A 22,328-nucleotide genomic window follows, 5' to 3' on the forward strand; every position below is an offset into this window, starting at 1 on the left:
ATCAACAAGACAGAGTCTATCAACTTGACCTGGGGCTTGCCAAGGCAGTCCAGCCGTTCACAAATAAAAGAGGCAGCCTGTTTAAGGAGCCCATACGAATCTCTCCTTTCCCCGCAGAAGTATGCTGCTCCAGGAGATGCCAGAAGAGCAGGGAGGTTAATAGTAAATAGTTAGAAGAGTTTTTTAAAAAAACATTAGACAACAAGAAACTACTTTTTCAGTTCAATCTGGCCTCTCATAGTTTGAGGTAGTTTTCCATAGGCTGCCACTGGAATTGGATACAATTGGTAGAGCCAACCAGAATGAAATGTTCCCAGGATGAAAAGAATGCCAATGCCAAACCAGCAGGGGAGAAGCAAAGAACCCTAGACCCCTGGAGGCCCTAGTGCCTTTGACAAGGGTAAAAGGTATGTATTGGCAGTGGAAAGGCCAATGATACTAATCCTAAGAAATAGTCTCTGGTTACATTTCAGGGACTCAAGGCCCACTGACAGAAAAGAGCAATTACTTACAGTCATACTTTTTTTTAATTTGACAAAGAACCCAATCATGATGGATTAGGTACATTTAATATCTCAATTAATAAGCCCTCTACAATATTAACATGTCAACTTGGTTCAAGAAATCCACTCCAGTTGATAGTCATCCAGGAAACGTCTTTCATACCCACATATTAAATTTAATCTGCCACCCCTGTTTTATAAGACTTTGTATTCATCTGCTGAAGAAAAGATGCTTATTTTATCATTCCAATTTAACAGCTTGCTTAGCAAAGTTGATAGGTAGGAGTTTAGAAGATATTCGTTGAATGCCTATTTTGTATATTTACAAAAGAGGTAGATTTAAGGGAGTTACCCAGAAGCAATATTTTTTTGTCCCACTGTTATCCTATTGGTCTTCCTTTCATTCGGCAGATTTATCTGTCATGAAGAATTTAAGTTTCATATTTTCCTCTGTCAGTTGTGAAAAGGCCTGTCAGCTGGGGCTTACACTACAGTTTGCCAAAAGGCCTATAGCACACAATGACAATACAATCTTATATTTGTGCTCCCAGTCTCCAGATAATCCCCCACTTTCCTCCTCTGCAGCCTAGTTATGATCAGGTTTAAGTTGCATATTGTGTTTTTAGCCAGATTTTGCTGATAAATGCTATCAGCAAGACTGAAATGAAATACAGCAGGTTAAGCTCTTATTACCAGTGTAAAACATGCCTTGCGAGTTTCGTGTGTGATATAGAGACAGTAGTTGCATAAAACCATTTAATTCACAGAAACTAAATATAGGAATGTTAATGGCTTTGGCTTTTATCCACTGAATGTTCGAAGATCTTTTATTCATATACCTGAAAATATAGACCTTTGATTAACATTCTATGGAGATGTGCCTGAGATACCAGGCCATTTGCCACATTGTTTCCAGGGTGGACTCAATTTTGAAAGAAAACTGTGCAAAGACTTAACATTATTTATCAATACCCTCAAACACAAGAGGATATTGTTTGTACCATTTTTATGTGCCATTTTTATTGTGAGTTCACATATATACCTAATCTAAGAAAGATTTACATTACCCACACGCCTGCAGAAACTACTTCATTCTAATTAAATAGAAACCATATAAATAAGTGGAGGCCTGAAAACCATTCTTTGCAGAACCTGCTGAGTCTGCAGCAAAATGTGAAGGACTAGTACATTAGAAAAATGTATCATTGTCTCAGCCAAGGAGAGAGAAGGGTTAATCATCATTCCTAGAACTCTGGAGTGGAACAAAAGCTTGCAGTCTGACACCAAAATAACATCACAATGAAAAGTAAAATTGCTTCTAAGTCTAAATTGCTTCATTTGAAAATTGTAGTGATACTGAGAACAATTATGTCACTTAAACTTTTACAGTTTTGTTTTTATAAATCAGTTATAAAACTATCATGTGGTTTAAATGCAATTATTTAATAAGGGCATTTGTAATTGTCCAACATAATCAATTATGCTTCAATCAGGCTCTTCTCTGAGACTGTATTTTTGTTAGCATCTAAGTCTTTCTTATGATAATACACACTTTTTGAAACAGCCAAATAAAAATCATTGTTTTCCAGAAAAGTTCTTCCCTCACCCTTGGTTGTAAAGCATTTCCCCACTGCAAAACGAAACTCAGAATTCTTTTTTGCCCCTTGTCTTAGAAACTAAACATCTACTCAAAGCATGAGAAGGGAAAACATATTGTTAAATAATAGGGGAAGTAAAAGTTGGCTCTTCAAGAGTCATGATAGTGTTGTCAAGTATGTTTTTCGAGCTGAGACAGGGGCTGGAGCCTGGGGAGCATGGAGTGGTGCCCACGAGTTACTCAGCAGGAGCCATGACAATGTTGGTACCACAAGTCACAGGTCATGACTTTGATTTTCTAAGAAGGAGGAGGATTAATTATGGGCTGAGTGTAGGGACACTCAGGCCTCCCAGAGACTATAGGATTTTAGTTGCTGTGTTGTGCAATTTGTGGGCTATTTGGTCCACTTTGGACAGCCTAGAGAACTATGTTTTCCCTCCAGATTTTAACTGAAGTCTCCGCTACTGCCTTATCCCTGTGTTTTGCCTGGTTTATCCTGATAGTCTGATCTCTATACCCACCAGCATGACTAAGAGGCTTCTCGTGGAGTTGGGCTCTCAGCTTCTACTTCCTCTCTCCCCACCCTTTTTCTCTTCTGTGAATAGACTCTTCCTTACTTTGACCTCTCTTTTGCTAAAGATTCTCACCACTTTATGGATGATATCAACCCTCTTCTCTCTCTGCTGTGCATCCTGTCATAAAAGATGATCCTCCTACTTAAAAGCGTTCCCTCATTTCAGATCTTTCTTCAAGGGAATGGGTGAGTCCTGCCAGTGACTACAAGAGGTTTATCTCCAGCCACACAGATTCAGCATAAACTGGAACCAAGATCCCCACAAAGGCTTCACCATACAGGAGACAGTGAGTTTGTTGTTTTGAAACCCAAATCTGCTAGTATATCTTCCTAGCTTAAAATCAGCTCATAGCATTCCCTCATTTTAGGGTGTAAGTCAAATGTCCTGCATTCTCTAACCCATCTAGTTCTAGTTCTCAAGTTTTTCTCACATGTTCCTTTCCATCACTCTTTGTTCCAGCCACATGGGCCTTCTCTCTAAATCATCTACTTCCTCCTCCAGCTCAAGGCCTGTCTGCTTGCTGTTCCCTCTGCTTCTGAGGCTTTCAGCCCAGCCCAGCCCAGACCTCATATTTCTTATTAGGCCAAGTCTTACTCATTCCTCTTTCCCCTTTCAGACCAAGTATGACTATGGGAAAACCAACACTGATACCCTGAGTCAAGCAGGTTCTCCCTGTTCTATGCTCTTACAGATGATGGACCTTTCCTTCAAATTATTCATTACTCTTGCAATGTTATATTTCTTTATTCTATTATTTGATTATTATCCCATTCCAATGGTCCTTTCTTGAGAATGGGGATTTTATCTTTGCTTTTCCTTATCTCTGTACACTATAGATACTCGGTTTTTATCTGTTGAATGAAGGAACTCTTTGGAGTTCATAGAAATTTTGTCCCAAAAAACACGGCAAGCAAATTTCCTAAACCTGGGTCAAGCATAAGGTTTTGAGAGCACCCTCGTATGTGTTCATGGAGAAATATACAATGACAAATTGAAAACAGCCTAACCATCAAAGAAGAACACATAAATAAATTGCACTATGTTCATAACATAACACCATGCAGCAGTTAAAATTAATGAATTAGGGCCATATGCATGCACCTGGCTAAATCCTCAAAGCACATACATAAAATGTGGCCATAATACAAAATATATATGTTGGTTTATTTTGCCTAGAATCCATGTAAGGAGTAGTCAGAAATACAATGGTAATACAGGTATATATAAAGACCGGGGACGAAATCTAGGAAAAGTGGGAATATGAGGCCATCAAAGTTCTTTCCCTCCTTTCCATGTCATTCCCCAGCCAGATTACAGCAGGAGGAGTATAATCAATCTCTGCCTTTTTTGTCCACATCTCTACTATTTATCTTCTGGGGCAGTTCTTAATTGTACTTGGAAACCAATGCATTTCAACAGGGTAAAAATTAGAGAATCATTTATAAATGCAAAATGTAAAAGGAAATAAACTAGAGAATAATAATAATATAGAAGAAAATCAATAATCAATATAAAAAATGTTGAATTTAGTTCCTATTTTGAAATATTCTATGAAACTAAGTTGGAAAAACAAAACAAACAAAATCAAAGAAGATTTAGAATATCCCAGAGGCCTAACAGAAAGTTGAAAGTTAAGTAAAATAGGTAAGAATTTTCCAAGACCCTGCCCTTGACTCTAGACAGGGAGACATTAGGTATAGAAATGTCTAATGCATATGGCCTTACACATAGTGTAAGCTGCCTCCTTTTTGTGTGTGTATAGAATTGGAAAGTTTTAGACAGCACTCTTTCCTAAAATATTTCCCTTACTCATTTTGCTATAATGCCTTCATATCCACTTTCCTTATTGATTTTGAGTCAATGCACTGAAGAGTCCTCCAAAAACCACAGAATTTTAGAATAACAGAAAGGCCTTTTTTTATTTTTTATTTTTTTATTTTTTTGATTAGATAAGGAAACTGATGCTTGAAAGTTAAGGTAACTTTGGAAAGCCACCCGCTGTAGCCCAGCAGTCTGGGAACCAGAACCCAGAAATCCTCATTCCTGTCCCATCGTTCTGCCCAGCACTCCACACTGTAATGTTATTATCTGGGGGCCATTGAGTTAAGCCTGTACCCTTTGTCAATGCTATGGATTGCATTCATTTGGCTGGGCAGTCACCCAGCTGGTACCTGAGTGGAAAAGAAAATATAAAATCCGATGAGGAGTGGTGTACACATACAATGGAATACTATTCAGCCTTAAAAAGAATGAAATTCTGATGCATGGTACAACACGAATGAACCTTGATGACATTATGCTAAGCCAGATACAAAAGGACAATATTGTATGATTCCACTGATATGAGGTACCCACAGGAATCACATTCATAGGGACAGGAAGTTGGATGGTAGTTGTCAGGGGTTGGAGGATGGCAGCATGGAGAATTAGTGTTTAATTGGAACAGAGTTTCAGTTTGGAAGAGGAAAATGTTCTAGAGATGAATGGCGATAATGGTTGCACAAGGTGATTTTACTTAATGCCACTGAGCTATGCACTTAAAATGGTTAAAATGTTAAGTTTTATGTTATGCATGTTTTACTACCATTTTTTAAAGAAAATCAGATGAGGAGCCATGAATTATGAATTCCAGCCGAGGAAAGCACACTTGGTGGGAATTCTAGGCATCTAGAAGGCACTGGGAAAATATTAAGTGCTTAAGGTAGGTGGGAAGAGGGCAAAGGGAGGAAGTGAGAAAGGTCTAGACCAGCATAGTCCACTGAGACTTTCTGCCATGGTGGAGATGGTCTACATCTGTGCTGTGCAGTATGGCAGCCAGGAGCCACTAACCACAAGTGGCTACTGAGCATATGAAATGTGGCTCATGAGCTAAGGAACTGAATCTTTAACTTAATTTGATTTAACTAACTTACATTTAAATAGCACGGGTCTAGACTTCCTATTGTTGGTGATTTCAGTAAAAGTACTTGTATTTCTGCTTCTTTTGGCTCACTTTTTATAAATTCAAGCACTGTTCACTCATTCCTTCAGTTACCGTTAGGAGGTATAATGCATCTCTTGTGTGCTAGACTCTTGCTAAGCAATTGGGGTAATAGTGAGCAACGGGAATGCTCTACACTGCTGGTAGGAGTATCAATAAGTATAAGCCCTGCAAGAAACAAGGTGACGGTATGTCTTGAGGTGAAAGACATACCTTTCACTCACAGCTTGTATACCCTAGAGAAACCCTCATAGCTGCTCAAGGAAGCATGGACATGCAAAATCAGAAAAGGCTTATCAACCTATGAAAGAAGAGATAAATTGGGCTTATGCTCATAAAAAATATTATGCAGTAGTTAAAATTAATGAATGAGTGCCACATCTACCTATGTGGCTAAATTCCAAAAACACAATAGTGAACAAAAAGAAAACTTCAATTGCAGGAGGATACACACAGGATGATATCATTATCACTTTTAAAAACTTCTAAAAAAAACCCTGCATTATTGTTTATGGATACATCTGTATGTAATAAATGTCAAAACACACATGGGTGAAGTGACAGCACATCCAGGGTAGTGGATACTTCTGGCAAGAGAGGGAATGGAATGGGAAAAGGTACACAGAGGTCTTCAATCCAACTGTAGTATTCTGTTATTAAAAAACATCTTTTTATATGACAAAACCAGAAGGTGGATCCATTGGTGTTCATTATATTATTCGCTATACTTTTATGAATAGCTAAAATACTTCACGATAAAGAGGATGCAAATGAAATGGCCCTCCTGTTAAGAAGCACTCAGATTATAGGGGCATCATAAGTACAATAAAAATGGCCATAATATGTTAAAAGTGTTAATAGGGGCATGAGGTGTATGAGGTGGGAGAGAAAACAGAGGAAGATGGAACTAACTCTGTCTCAAAGAGTCAAGAGGAGTCAAGAAGACTTCACCTGGTAGTTACACTCAAGTTCATTTTCTGAGGATATGTAGTTTAGTTGGGGGAAAAACAGGAATATTTATTGGAGGCTACAAAGACAGTTTGTAGAAAGAGTGAGAGACTTCACTGGAGTCTAGAGCTGTCAGGGTAGAGGGAATGGCTGATGAAACCGATTGGAGTTGACTCAGGCTGTGTTCTCCCATCCAAACGTGCATGCGCGTGCACACATGCGCACGTGTGTGTGTGTGTGTGTCAGGGATGTGAGGGGGTAAAGTAAGAGGGGAGAATGAATGAGAACACAGCTAGGGAGACCCATGCTCTTATAATTTTCCCAGTGACAGGTCATGAGAGCCTGGAATGTGATGACAGCAGTGATGTGGAAGGGGCAGGAGTGGGAGGTATCCAGGAAGACTCTATGGGACTTGATGACTGTGGGACTAGAAGAGGTTCCTATCTTGAACAACTTTGGCTGATGATGACACTGACCTAGACAGTAATATGGAAGATGGAGAAGAAGCAAGGTTTCCCCAACCTTAGAGTGAAAGGAGGAAAGGTGAGAAGATAATGAGTTTGATTTGGGATTTGTTAGCTTTGAAACCTCTCCAGGTAGAAATGTCAAGAAGGGAGCCATGGGAAGAAGCAGCATAGAGATAATGACTGGAGTGGATAACACAGGCAAAAGGCAGTCTGTAAAATGAGAAAAGAAGATTTCACTGGACAGCTAAGAAGGTGGATCATCACACTGTAGGCACGCTAAGCTCTTCCTCCCAGAGACAGGTCATGTTTTGGCAGAAGAATCTGAAGACTTCTAATTCAACAGCAATAAAGAGAACTGAACAAAGGAATCATGCCCTAGGGTTTGGCATCTGGCCTTAGCAAACTAGTGTAGCAATGAAAGCACCAACTTTATAGTTAAACTGACGTACATTAAATGCATTTGCCATTAAACTTTCATTCCCCACTTACTAGGTGTAAACTTGGGCAAGTCACCAAACCACTCTGAGCCTCAGTTTCTTTTTCTGGCAATGGGGATGATACCTTACAAGCTTGTGGTGAGGACAAAGTTGAATAATGTAGGTAAAATATTGAATACATATTAAGTCCCTTCTCCTTTTCTTAGCTCTTACCATTGCGAATGCCTACACTTGTCTGATAACATTTTATTTAACTAATTACTTTTTCCTCAAAATACAAAGTACTACTGACCATAGAAGTTGTTGATTACTTGAAACCAGGGGCCATATCTTACATGTTGATCAGTCAGGTACGTACTGAACGTTACTATTTTCCTAACAAGTCATAGACTACCAATAACATGTAGCACCATGCTAGGTACATTGTCGGTGAGCAATAAATAAATAAATGGCTTCTGAATTGAAGTGTACTGTAGTACAGCCAATAAAAATAAGCATAAAATGTTTTATGATTCAGCTTCATATGTAATCATTTGGTAACAACCTTGTTAAGCCCAAAAACATGCATAGGCAATAAGTATATCATTTTATAAGGAAAGGAAAATAGAGGTTATTTGTTCAAGTTCACAGAAAAAAATTACCTCAGGGCCAGAAATAGACAGCAGTGAATCTAATGGTCAGTAAACATGGGGAAATCTCCCAGTAGGGTTTCAGTTATGGGCCCAGTGAGACATGAACAAACAATCCCTTAGGATTTCTAATGCAAAAGAACAAATATAAAAATAGAAGGCTGCCTTTCATGTAGTCAGTACCAAGTTCTCCAACCAGATTCTACACAGCAACTGGAGGACAGGGCCTCAGATCAAGGAAGAAGTGGGATTGGTTTGGAGGGATCCTATCTGGACTCAAGGAAAGTGACAATACAAATTATGGGATGGATCTACATCCTCGAGGTACGTTTTTATATCTGTGCAGAAAAGTAAGCTGATAGCATAAAGGGTCACCAAATAGGAAAGGAGATATGGTTTAATTTTTATCTTTGTGACTTGCTGCTTACATTCATTATGGAAAAAATAGGGTTTAAGTCAGAGTTTAAGGTGGGCCAAGACTTCCCACCTTAGGGTTTAAGAAGCTTTGCCGGTTCAGAAGTGAAGCTGGTGTATTGGTGAAAAGCAACCAAACAGAAGGAAAAGTGAGAAGACAAAGTAGAAAAGGAGAGAGAGGTGGTCAACCGGGACAGAATTTGAGTCAGAGATATCTGTGGTATGTTCAGGTCAGAAGTTAAAATAAGAATAAAGTTAGAGACTCGTTTCTGGAGTAGACAGACTTGGGGGAAAAGAGTCCCAGAACTCTCCCCATTCATAAAATGCATCTATTATAAATACATATACACAGAAGATGTCCTCTATAATATTATTTCTACTTCTGAAAAAAATCTGTGGCTCTTTTGATCTGAGATACGGAGGTGCTGGTGGGGGTTTGAGGGATGGCAGGACAGACAATTATGTAATCAGCAAGCTGAGGTCAAAACCTGGAAAGTCAAGATGTCAGTGAGAGGCAGCAGGAGGAATTTCTCCCAGAAAACAGATAGCACAAGTAGTCTTTTTGTATTGTGGGTAAATTTTGTTCCCTAGAATACGTTCAAGTCCTAAACCCCAGTACCTCTGAATGTGACTGTATTTGGAAATAGGGTATTTGCTGATGTAATTAACTTAAGATGAGGTAATAATGGATTAGGGCTTTTAAGGTATCCTTATAAGAAGAAGCGTGAAACTTGGACACACTGATATACCCAAGGATAAAGTTCACGTGAAGATGGAGGCAGAGGCTGGAATATGTGGCTTCAAAGAACACTCCCGGCCAGCAATCACCAGAAGCTGAGAAGAGCAAAGAAAGATTCATCCCTAGAACCTGGTGAGGACACATGGCATTTCCAAAACCATGATATTGAACCTCTAGACTACAGAACTGTAAGGGAATAAATTTCTGCTGTTTTAAACCAACCAGATTGTGGGTACTTCGTTATGGCAGCACTAGGAACCCAACATGCCTTGCTGTCTGAAGGACTTTCAGCTGTGTGGTTGCCAGGTTTATGAGTCAACTGAGAAGCAGATTTTCACAGTCCGTATCCTCAATCCATGTCCCTGGCATGACACTCCCCTCAAGCCTCAACCCTCGATCCCACCAGGCCACGCATCCCCTAGTGGAGCCAGGTTTGGTGAGAGCGCTGGTCCTCAGAGAGTCTAGCATGACCAGAGAGTTCAGGCCTGGCCTTCTGGAACACATCTTTTCTGGGTTCTAAGGGCCAAAATTTTTCTCCTTCAGAGCCAAGGGCCCACAAATACCTGCACTTCAAATTCTTTTATAGCTTACTAGAGTAAGAGAAGGGTATGGTGTTTGGCCAATTAGAAGAGTAAGCATTTAAGTAAGTAGTAGGTGTTTTAAATCTAGGGAAACCTCTGGAGCAGTGATGGCATTTTACAGTCACTGAGACCTTAATGAACACCAATGTCTAGATTGCACCTGCATAAATTGGGTACAGATGCAGGTATTAGTATTTTTTTAAAGCTGCCAGTATGCAGTCAAGTTGAAAGCTTGAACTAGGTGCTGGTCTGGGCGATAAGGAGTCTATCGTGGGTCCACCCAGCTGTAAGATCATGTAGAAGGAAAGTTATTAAGTTATTAGATAGAAAATTACACCTGGTTTCTGATTGTCAAGGTTCTCTCAGAGGTACCTTTTGTGTTTTAAAACTAACATCCACCTTTCTCCCAAACACAAGGGTAGACCTAATTTTCTCTTTCTTCCTCATCTCCCACATCCAATCAGTTGCCAAGTTTTCTTGATTCTGTAAACTTTTCTCAAATGTACCTTCTTTATTTTTTTTATTTTTTTATTTTTGAGGCAGGGTCTCACTCTATCACCCAGGCTGGAGTGCAACGACGCAGTCTCGGCTCACTGCAACCTCTGCCTCCTGGGTTCAAGCGATTCTCCTTCCTCAGCCTCCCTAGTAGCTGGAACTACAGACACGCGCCACCATGCCCAGCTAATTTTTGTATTTTTAGTAGAGACGAGGTTTCACTATGTTGGCAAGGATGGTCTCGATCTCCTGACCTCGTGATCCACCCGCCTTGGCCTCCCAAAGTGCTGGGATTACAGGCATAAGCCACCGTGCCCGGCTGAAATGTACCTTCTTTCTGCATTCCTTTGGCCGCTGCCTTAGTTCAGGCTTACCGTTTCCTGCCTGGGATTCTGACAGCAGGGTAACTGGACCTTGTTTGTAGCCTTCCTCACTCCCAATTCATTCTCCAGTTGCCACCAAAATGATCCTTTAAATATACAAGTGTCGATGTTTTACTCTCCTGCTTAAAGCCCTTCCATGGTTTCCCCTTTGCCTACACAGTAACTTCTGGGCTGGTCACATGACAAATAGAACTCCCCATAATTTGGCCCTTGCTTCCTTCTCTCCAGTGTCTTCTGGTGCACTTGTTCCTTGGACTTAATTCTTCATCCGTAGTTCACTGTGCTATTTCAGGCCTAAGTCTTTGCAGATGCTGGTGTGCCTTTGCCTAGTAAGTCCCTCCCTAAATGTACCCTTTGGCTTCCTGGAGTATTTACATTCCTTCTCCCTCACCAAGAAATCTTCCTAACACCTACTACCACTTACTGCTGCTATTCTATCACCTCTATGCTTTATACACATTTTTATTAAGGTCCACCCTGCTGCTTGATAAAATTTTGTAAGGGTTTGTGTCACCGAGATGATGAAATCCTTGAGAGAAGTTCTAAGTCTTACTTAGAACTTAGCCACTGGCAAAATATCAAATGTATAATAAGCCTTCAGGTGTTGAATGAATTAATGGGAAAACAAGGAAATAAATAAATGTATTTGTCATCTGGAAGAATAACTGAAATTCAATCCATGAACTTGGTTTCCTAAAAGGGCAATAAGAGGTGGAGAAGTGTAGGGGTAGGGAAGCATTTAGGGAGAGAATATTTTTCTTGGAGGGAGAGATGATATTGGTTTATCAAATTAACCTAAGGAAGAAAGTAATAATAGTTATTCTGTTGTCAAGAGGTAACACTAGTGGGCATTGGGGCGGAAGATATTTGGTTTATCTACTTGCTCTGGCAGAAATCAGTTGGGTTTGGATATGGTTTAGATCTATATTTTTACCCAAATCTCATGTTCAATTGTAATCCTCAGTGTTGGAGGTGGGGCCTGGTGAGAGGTGATTGATCCTGGGGGCAGTTTCTAATGGTTTAACACCATCCGCCTGGGTGCTGTTCTCATGATATTGAGTGAGTTCTCACGAGATCTGGTTGTTTAAAAGTGTGTCACACCTCTCCACTTTCCTCCTGCTCCAGTCATATAAGACATGCCTGCTTCCCCTTCGCCTTCTGCCATGATTGAAAGTTTCCCGAGGCCTCCTCAGCCATGCTTCCTGTACAGCCTGTGGAACCATGAGCCAATTAAACCTCTTTTTTTAATAAATCTCCCAGTCTCAGACATTTCTTTATAGCAATGCAGGAACAGATTAATGCAGTTTTGTTTTAGTTTTTCAAAATGGGTCTATAAGTTGGGACTCTCCTCATTCTACCAGAATATTTTATTGCACAACCCTATCATACCAAGGAATACACACCTTCGTAAAAATAGAAGATGTTCTTATAAATATTCAAGTAATTATGGTTACCTGAGATCACGCATAGCATGGTGCGAAATAAACTATTTAGTGAATGCATTAAAACCTGTTTAGTCCATGCACGGTGACTCACACCTGTGATCTCAGCACCTTAAGGGCCTGAGGTTGGAGAATAGCTTGAGTCCAGGAGTTTAAGACCAGCCTGGGCAACAGAGTGAGACCTCATCTCTACAAAAAAATTAAAAAACTAGACCAGGCGCTGTGGCTCACACCTGTAATCCCAGCACTTTGGGAGGCTGAGGCAGGTGGATCACCTGAGGTCAGGAGTTCAAGATCAGCCCGGCCAACATGGTGAAACTCCACTTCTACTACAAATACAAAAATTAGCTGGGTGTGGTGGCCGGCGCCTGTAATCCCAGCTACTCAGGAGGCTGAGACAGGAGAATCGCTTGAACCCAGGAGGCAGAGGTTGCAGTGAGCCAAGATTCCACCATTGGACTGCAGCCTGGGTAACAAGAGTGAAACTCCGTCTCAAAATAATAATAATAATAAATTTAAAACATTAAAAAACTAGCCATGTGTGGTGGTGTGCACCTGTGGTCCAGCTACTCAGGAGGCTGAGGTGGGAGGATTGCTTGAGCCAAGGAGGTCGAGGCTACAGTAAGCTGTGATTGTACCACTGCACTCCAGCCTGGGCAACAGAATGAGACCATACCTCAAAAAAAAAAAAAAAAAAAAAAAAAGCAACAAACAAACAAAAACCTGTTTAAACACCCAAAAGAGAAGTATCATTGAATTAGCTAGTTCGGGGTAACTGAAAAGAAGCCATTTTGATAATAAAAAGTCTGTGATGATGGTGGTCTGTTGTCACTAGATGTCTGATAGAAATTGAAGAAGATCTGAATTCTCATTGTCCCATATACCTTTACTTTGAAGCCCTTACCACAATTCTGCATTTACAAGTGTAAGTTGTATTTGATTAATATATGTGTTCCTGACTCTATGATATATCAAGATGAGGACTTAGGTCAGGTTTTGCTCATTCATCTTCAGTTTTTAATATGGTATCCTGTATATTATAAACTCTCCAGAACTATTTGTCAAATGAATGTGCTGAGTAAATAGTTCAGTCCTTTAAACACTGCCTTTGGATAGATTATAGAATGAAGTTGTCCCCTGATCTTACAGCATCTTACAGACCTATTCCTGATCCAAGAAGCCCTTGGAATCTTTTCTCCATTCTCTGCCTCATCTGTGCTACTCACATTGTCCTAGATAGTAGAACTTACGAAAGACACAAAATTATTGATTGCAGAAGCTTGAGAGGTACAGGATCTAAAAGTACAATTACGCAAGGTTGAGGAGCAGCATATTCAACACCCACTAGACAGACTATTAAGCTATTTGGTGGACGTAAACATGGAATGGTTCATATCAGCTTCTAATATGATCTCAGTTGCCAAAAATGCCTTTTTCCTGGTCATTTTTCTATTATTCAAGAATGTATGATTAAAAAAGAACTTACAAGATTTAAACTGGGTTAGATTAAGTGGTAAGACTGCCCATGCTATAATGTTAGAACTATCAACATTTACCAAGAATAAGGTGGAGAAGGAATGAGCCAGAGGCAAACAGGTTATTTAAAGGTCTTCGGATGTTGCCAGCCTTGGACTACCAAAAAAAGTTGTAATTCTGATGCTGAGGAATGCCGTCATAATGGAGAAGTAGGACAAAAACTGTTTGAGTTAATCAATGAGTCCAGAATGTGCTGCACCACTTTAGGCCTTAAGTCATTGGAGGGTAGAGATCTTTTGGGATCTAATTGGATGCCCAGCAGGCTGATGCTGTGTCTTAGAAACTGGACTTTTAACTGGTTGGGTAAATACTTCTCCAGCCTGTCTTGTACTGCTTGTTCTGCCGGAGGCTAGCAAAAAACCATGTGAATATGTACAATGTATTAGGCCAGGTCCTGAAAGTAAATTAAGATAACATCAAAGGGATCCTTTATAAATTGATGGAGGGAGGCCAGCCTATTGCATCATTCCTAATGTCATTCTAACCACAATAACTGTACCGTGTCCAAAGGTAGCTTTGCTTTTTCACTCTCACACTGGATTCCAGCTAGTTTGTGTGCCTCCCAGAGGTTGTTTGGTGTAGATGCTTAATGTACATCATTCATCTTACAAACTGGGGAGCATTAGATGGTGATAGTGTTGAGAACTGTTAGTCTTTTTGTAACCTCATTTTCCTACTTTTATATTACGTAAGAAGAATTAAAACCCAAGGAGGGGAGAGAGAAGAGCAAATGAGCTTTCATTGAAAGTCTGCCTCAATGAACTTCAGGAGTTGTTTTGTATCTGGCTTTTTTTCCTCTCAGATAACTATGGGATATTGACCCTTGTTTACAGAATTATGCTAAGTTCTTTGTGTATATTACCTCATTTAATCCTCACAACACATCTCTGAGGAGTGTCAGTAGTAACTCCACTATATAAATGAGGAAACTTTGGAATTTGCTAAATGGTCATAGAGTCGGTTTCATAAGGAGATGTAAGAGATATGCTAGGATCCCTATCAATCTTGGTGCTATGGTTGTGGTGGAAAACATGATCTAGAATTCAAAACAAATCCAGAATAAAGCCCAGACCAGCTTTTGCCTATATAGATGGATCAGTATGAGCTGGGGGAAGGGGGTAATCATAGGCAATTTTTTTAAGAGACAGGTTCTTGCAACGTTGCCCAGGCTAGCCTTGAACTCCTGGGCTCAAGCAATCATTCTCCTTCAGCCTCCCGAGTAGCTTGAACTACAAGCATGCACCATTGTGCCCAGAAATAAGTAATATTAGTAAAAGCATGCAGACATAAAAGTCAGTTTTCAGGAATGCAATGCCATGCCATAGGGTTCAAATTACTAAGTGAGAGTGCAAATCCAAGGAAAACTGGGAAGAGAGCGAGTTAGCGACACAATTCTCTCTTTTTCATTCTTGGTGATCATCACTGGATTCTGGTCTTCAAAGACTGGCCAGATGAGGAGAATGATTTCTATAAGAAATCAGAGATCTGAGAATGAAGGTACTATCTAAGTCAATGACCCTGCATCAGAATTTCCCCACCTCAAATCCCCCAAGTCAAAATCTCTGCAAATATCATGTGGAAATATAAATAGGATAAAGGATGACAGACATGTTCATATGTATTAACATTTAAAATCCTTAAAAGCATCTAATCAACTACATGCCTGCTTAGAAAACAAAAAGACCAAGGGCATATTTTTGGAGGTATTCTATAGTTATGGGTATTGTAAATAAACATGCTTGCTGGGGATACCCATCCTTTGTCTCTTTTGTAAAGTCTATAATTCTGAAGTGATTGGCTGCCATTGCATTTTCTCCTCTTTTATTCAAAGTATGACCACAATAATTAAGGAATGAGGTTAATCTTGGAAGCTGGTAAAAGGGGGCTGAAAGAGGGGAACTAGATAAGTGGAATTGTTGAACGCCTTTAATCTCAAAGCCTTCTGCACATTACAAATCACATTGAATCTTCCCTTTCAGAAGGTATCAAATTCAGAGAGGATAAGATGTGTGCATTTGATAGATGCCAATGTTTACCTTAAGACTGAAGTTCTGTTTCCTTTATGCGCAAGTTGTACCAGGAACAACCTCAGAATTGTTAAACACACTATAGTTTGCTTCTGCTGCTCTCTGTTTCCTCAGTATTTCTTTAGAATTGTTTAGATCCCTGTCTGGAAGGAGTCATTCTACTTCTCAGACAATATAAAAAAAATGTCAGAAATATCAGCCAAAGACATGAGTTTATTCAAACAGAAGCAAAACTTGCTTGTGTATATTCAAATGAACTCATTTGGAAGCAGGATGTAAATTTCAGAACTATGTAAATAATTAATAAAATCTTAAAGATATGTCAGTCTGGAATTCACCTAAAATTTGTTATAAAGTCCTTTTGAATATCATATCTTTTTGAAGGGACATTGGCTAAAAATTTAACATGGGTCTTTCAGTGGTGGTATTATATATAACAACTCATTTCTTATTTTGTAATTGACTTAATCTAGAGCACTCTTTCTCAAATGATTCCCTTTGCAACGTGCCAAACTTAGATTTTTCTACTTCTAAAATCCAGCGACAGATATCTTTTTCGCTCTGAATGAAAAAAATACTCAAGTATTTTTTTCAAGTATTTTCTTATTTATTTACAGGTGTTATTTATCTGCTCATAAATGCTGATAGTCAAGAACAAAATGAACGAGTCACAAGATATTGAAAACAAAAATCCTTAGGAGCAGCTGATCCTGGTGGGCCAGGTTGGCTTCTTTGAGATGTGAAATTATGATTCTTTATCTTATTGCCTACGTCAAATGTCATCTGGTATGATAGGAAAAGTGTTCATATGATAGAATTATCTTCAGCAGTAGGTAAGAAGGTTCTCCAAAGAGCATGACACCTACAGGAACACACCCATACCAAAAATTCGAGAATTACTGATTTTGAGAACTCATTGCCCTTAATCACAAAGTCTTCCTTTGTCATTTTTGTTATGCATATACCTTCTGACCCTGTTTTCCTACTTCTAAGTGTCTATCACATCCACCAAACAAAAATTTTTAAACACATGCACATGGTGTTTATTATGGCATTATTTGTAATATTCAAAAATTGTGGCTGGGTACTGTGGCTCACACCTGTGATCCCAGCACTTTGGGAGGCCAAGGTGGGAGAATCACTTGAGCCTAGGAGTTTGAGACCATTCTGGGAAACATGGCAAGACCCCGGTTTCTACAAAAAATTTAAAAGTTAGCCAGCCTCAGCTACTTGGGAGGCTGAGTTGGGAGGATCGCTTGAGCCCAGGAGGTCAAGGCTGCAGTGAGCTATGTTCATGCCACTGCACCCCAGCCTGGGCAACAGAGCCAAACCCTGTCTCAAAAAAACAAACGAAGGAAGAAAAATTGCAAATAACTCAAACATAGGAGAATGTTTTGGTAAATCTTAGAACATCCATATAGGAGTTTTACAAAACAAAATAGCACTATTTATATTGATATGGATGATCATCAAAGCATAGATAAATAAATAAAAGTAAGCTGAAGAATAATCCATCTATATGATCACTGTATATGATGTATTTGGTACACATGGGGCAAGCGCTAGGAAATAAAGGGGGTCTTAGAAAAAGTTCAGAGATGTCACACACCAGACTCCAGGTGGGAGGGTGAAGTTGAAAGGGTAAAGGAGAACCTGAACTTCTTAATCTACATACTTCTGTGTTGTTTAAATGTATTCATAAATCATTTGTGTGCCTAAAAATAATTTTCAAAAGAGAAATCACATGCTTTAAAAAAGCACATGTGAAGAGATTTCTTTCCTTTAGAATTTAGTGCCAGAAAAACTTGTGTTCAAATAAGAATTTGTTTGTGTTTCTTCAATTCTAATGGAAATAATTCAAGAATGTTTCCCTTCTAATTCTGCCTTTCAGGAAGCTCAGAATCAAAATGGATGCTCAGTTGGAACATCCGCACTAGCCTGCCACATTAGCACGTTTGCTACCACCTCTTTCTGCAGATCCCATTTGCAATTTCTGGGTTTACACCATCAGACTGATTTTCTATGTAATCTTCGTTATAAGCCTCTTCAGATGTTTTTAAAATGAAATGAGGAATACATTAATGAATAATCAAATGATTATTTTCATTGAGTTGGAAAGTCATTTCACGTTTCAGAATGGCTGTTAGTGACAGTTGACTTCTACCTAAATGTAACTCAATATTACACATTCTCATCCTATAATATGTAACTCATACCTAAAAAAAATAATCAGTGGGCTCCAGAATGCGCAGAAAAATATATTCAGGATTTTGCTTTTCCCCCCAGTACTGTCTAAGGTGGTTGTTTAGGTCTAGTGAGCCACCGAAATTAATTATACCCGAAGGAAATACACAGACCTCAGGGATTAGATGGCAATGTATCTATTTATTGAAGTCCTCTCTGTGTGAAGTAAAATAATCCTTAAAGAAGATTAAATGGAAAGACCACCGTACAGATTTCTACAGGCAAAGAAAGATAGTCTGCTTCAAACAGTGAAGTTTAAAAACTGTACATTTTTTAGAATACTGACAATCACAGGCCAAGGCTCACCCTTCCTTACCCATTTCCACCCAACACACACTCGAGTACAGCATCCTGTTTTACAGGTTTCAAGCATGGCTCCATCCTTGCTTTAAAAAAACAGAAAACCAAACCACTTTCGGTACATTTTGGTGTGTTCTTTATTTTGAGTGTCTTTTGAAACACATCCTTCTATGTTCCAGAAATAAACTGGCAGCTCCCTCTCTTGTCCTGGTGAAACTCCTCACCGGTCAGTTCCCCATACAAACAAAGCCATGAGAGAAGTGTTTTGGACAAGGCTTTTCCCAACTAATGGCTTGAATGTGCTCTGGGAATGCTAACATGATTTTTTAATTAACATTAATTCTGCTTAGCTTCAACTATGAAAGAAATGGGGTTTCTTCAAACACCAATTAACAAAGCAAACCCCAATAAAGGGAAAATACTCGCTCCCCACCCCCAGCCCCTAACAGGAAACTCCCCCCTGTTGAGTTTTCCCCAAGGTCTCTATAAACTTTCTCTGATGAACTTGCTAGAACCTTAATGAGAATGAATCAGCACAGATTTTTCCATCATATAAACAGAAATATTTAATTTCATGAAAGGGGACAGCATGCTGGATTCTGCCCAGCCCACTACATAATGTCTTCAGTTTTTCCTCCTTCCTAGTAGTTTATTTATCATAGTATTTTCATTACAGTAATTCCTCAGAGTTTCCCAAACCTGAAGACTATACCTCAGCATCATAGATGAAACAAAAAGACCTAAGCCTCATTGCTGACTCTATTTTCTTACTTGAAGCAGAGGGAAAATATTTGCCCTCTTTGTGTTTGCTCAGAATAAATTTCCCTGCATGGGCCACTCCTAGGACCCAGAGGGACAATCATACTTCCAGACAAGCCCAGGGGGCAAAGCAACACATCCAAAGATCCCACTAGGACAACCCTTCTCACACTGTATTCAGAGAAACACAAAATGTTATTCTGTGTTCTACTCAAAAAGGGTTTTGTGGTCAAATAAACTAGGGAAATGCTTCAAACCATATTTATTTGGAGATTCACAAAGCATGTCATCCTGTTAAAAGCTCTGGAAATCTTGTAATTAGAAAATCTAAGTAACTTGCTTAACTCTATTTATTTTTCTGACTATTTAATCACAAGACCTTTCTTCATGGAACACAAGCATTCTACAAATCACTTTAAAAATGGGAAGGAAGTGAGTACTTACTAAGTACCAGCTATGTGCATTGATTATTTGAGTTAATCATCCTAACAGTCCTATTAGTATTATTATCCCCATTTTACAGGTTAAAAAATGCTGAGGTTCAAAACATTTTTAAAACATGTCTAGCTTTACATATATAATAAATTAATGGGGCTAGCATTCAAATCCAAATCCAATCAGATGGGTGAAGAGGTTTAAAACTGTATCACATGAAGGAAAATCGACCATTTTAATCGACCATAATGTAATTTTAGCTTAGTCTGATTTGGAGGAGTTTCTGGGGAGGGGAGGCATGACATGATGATGTCTTTAAATATTTGAAAGATGGGACTGTTAAGTGAAAATTGGATTATTCAAGCATCAGGTGGGGTGACTCAACCTTCAAGCTTCCATTCAGGCCTGAGACTATGAGCTTTTGAGCTGTTAAAGATGCACAAAAGAATGGTTCACAGCCACTGGTGATCAATTATCTTCCTGGAGGCTCACCTCTAAATTCATACAGCTTGGAATTCCATGGAGTGTCCTTACAACTTATAAATGTAATAAACACAACAGAAGAAAAGTAGTTTTAAGGCCACCAACACAACAATGTTTCAGTCATACAGGAAGAATCCCAATGGCTTTATGATGAAAAAACCAAAGCTTTACTATACCATAATTTGTCATGGAATAAAATGGCAACATCTTTATTAGGACACATTTCATTAAACCGCTTTCACACTGCTAAAAAAATACTGCCAAGACTGAGTAATTTATAAAGGAAAGAGGTTTCATTGACTCACAGTTCTGCATGGCTGTGGAGGCCTCAGGAAACTTACAATCATGGTGGAAGGGGAAGCAGGCACATCTTACATGGTAGCAGGAGAGAGAGGAGAAAGTGAAGGGGGAAGGGCCCCTTATAAAACCATCAGATCTCATGAGAATTCACTCACTATCAGAACAGCATGGGAGAAACTGCCCCAATGATCCAGTCACCTCCTTTCCTTGACACGTGGGCATTATGGGTCTCTCCTTTGACACATGGGGATTATAATTCGAGATGAGATTTGGGTAGGGACATAGAACCAAATGCTATCACCCAGCCAATGGCATTTATTTATAAGAAGTGCTAGAAAGAACCTTATTATAGTATCCGTCTCTCTCAAAACATCATCACACGTGATTCTATTCTACAAAAGGTGGTGCTACAATCAGCATTTAAGGCATAAGGGGAGTAAAACTTGAGACTAGCAACATCTGAGAAGCCTTCTTACATAGTTAATCAACTAGTTGCAGTATTTATAGAAGTCCTTCAGAAAGTACAGGGAACTATGCTGGATTTGGGCATGGAAGAGAGCTTACAAAGTCAAGTACGTGGAGATAGAGATAGAGACAGAGATATATTTTGACCAAGAAGAGAGCAGAAAAATGTGAAGGAATTATACTAAATTAAAACAGACTGCATTTTTGTTATGTTTGTGTATAACACCACTAATATTTTAGCAAAGAATTTAGGGAAAATACCACAAATCATGAAGAGTAGCTCTGCATACTGTGCGACTCTGCTCATGATTTTTCTAAAGACCAATGTGGAAATTGACAAAAATCAGCTCCATGAGTTAAGTTTCCCTACAGTTCTAAGTAAACTTCCCTCCACTCTGTTGATGAAGCTAATAATGCCTAATTATTTACCAGGGTTTTCTGCCTTGCTCCTGGTCTAATTAATTAGGGCTGGAAACAGTGTTTTACTACATCTGTTAGGGAAATCATTGGAAATTATTCATATCCAAAACTATTTTGCATGGGTTAATTTTTTTATTTTTTATTTTTTATTTTTTTGAGATGGAGTCTCGCTCTGTCACCAAGGCTGGAGTACAGTGGTGCAATCTTGGCTCACTGCAACCTCTGCCTGCTAGGTTCAAGTTATTCTCCTGCCTCAGCCTCCGGAGTAGCTGGGACTACAGGCATGTGCCACCATGCCCGGCTAATTTTTTTGTATTTTTAGTAGAGACGGGGTTTCACCATGCTGGCCAGGCTGGTCTCGAACTCCTGACCTTGTGATCAGCCTGCCTCAGCCTCTCAAAGTGCTGGGATTACAGGCGTGAACCACCACGCCCAGCCAGGTTAACTTTAAAAAAAAAAAAAAAAACCCAAGTGGAACATGCTTTACATCACTTGGAAGTCATTTATTCCGCAAAATTGTGCTGACAGCCAACTACAAGCAGGACACTTGGGGGATGCAGCAAAGACTGAAAAACAGGCTTGTCTGGAAGAACTCATGCTCCAGAGAGGGAGAGAAAACATTCGGCAGTAACAAGAAAACAAAGTAGAGTGTGGCAATCACCGCAAGAGAAGGAGAGACTAAGTGCAGTGGATTTCCGAGGATGGTAGTTATTTATCAACATAATACATGTGTGAGATCTAGACTCAGCAGGCTATCATGGGTTCCCCTTCCATGACATTCTACTCAGCAGACACAAAGGTCTACTTAAATGTGCAGGACAGCCATAAAATCTGGAAACATAAATTTTTGTTTACACATTGATCATTGATAACATTAAGGATCTCTATGTTTTCATACTGTAGGTGCAAAAACAAAACAACTTTGTATGTAACCCATTCAAAATGATATGGAATAAATGAGTGTCTTAGAATTCTGGAGAATTTCCATTGTTCAAAATGTGAATATTCCCTTAATCTGTTTGCTAATGAATAGGAGTAATTTATAAAATTGATTATGAAAAAAAAGATGCTTTAAAGCCTCAATAGTATATAATGGGCAGGCAGAAATAAAATAATAGACCCTATTTTCATTTCTACTACTAAATTCTATATGGCTTTCTAAATATTTT

At 39.2% G+C, this 22,328-nt stretch overlaps 1 long non-coding RNA gene across 2 annotated transcripts, besides 1 other annotated feature; it reads left to right on the forward strand.

Annotated features, from left to right (window-relative positions):
- Window positions 1-265: 265 nt before the first annotated feature.
- LOC105375414 (uncharacterized) lies at window positions 266-17,848 on the forward strand. 2 transcript variants are annotated; one of them, XR_927783.2, is made up of 4 exons: window positions 266-407; window positions 2,841-2,961; window positions 16,371-16,475; window positions 17,645-17,848. It is a non-coding gene; the product is annotated as an uncharacterized LOC105375414 (long non-coding RNA). The 2 variants fall into 2 exon arrangements; XR_007060443.1 differs by lacking the exons at window positions 266-407; window positions 2,841-2,961 and adding exons at window positions 8,332-8,460; window positions 9,255-9,421.
- Window positions 14,099-14,393: a silencer, noted in NCBI's record as "tiled region #10792; K562 Repressive non-DNase unmatched - State 13:Ctcf". NCBI's record gives its function as "represses a minimal TATA promoter and a strong SV40 promoter by Sharpr-MPRA in K562 cells {active_cell/tissue: K562}" and the evidence as "EXISTENCE:reporter gene assay evidence [ECO:0000049][PMID:27701403]".
- Window positions 17,849-22,328: the final 4,480 nt, after the last annotated feature.

This window comes from Homo sapiens, chromosome 7, assembly GCF_000001405.40.
Source record: "Homo sapiens chromosome 7, GRCh38.p14 Primary Assembly".
Taxonomy (NCBI): domain Eukaryota; kingdom Metazoa; phylum Chordata; class Mammalia; order Primates; family Hominidae; genus Homo; species Homo sapiens.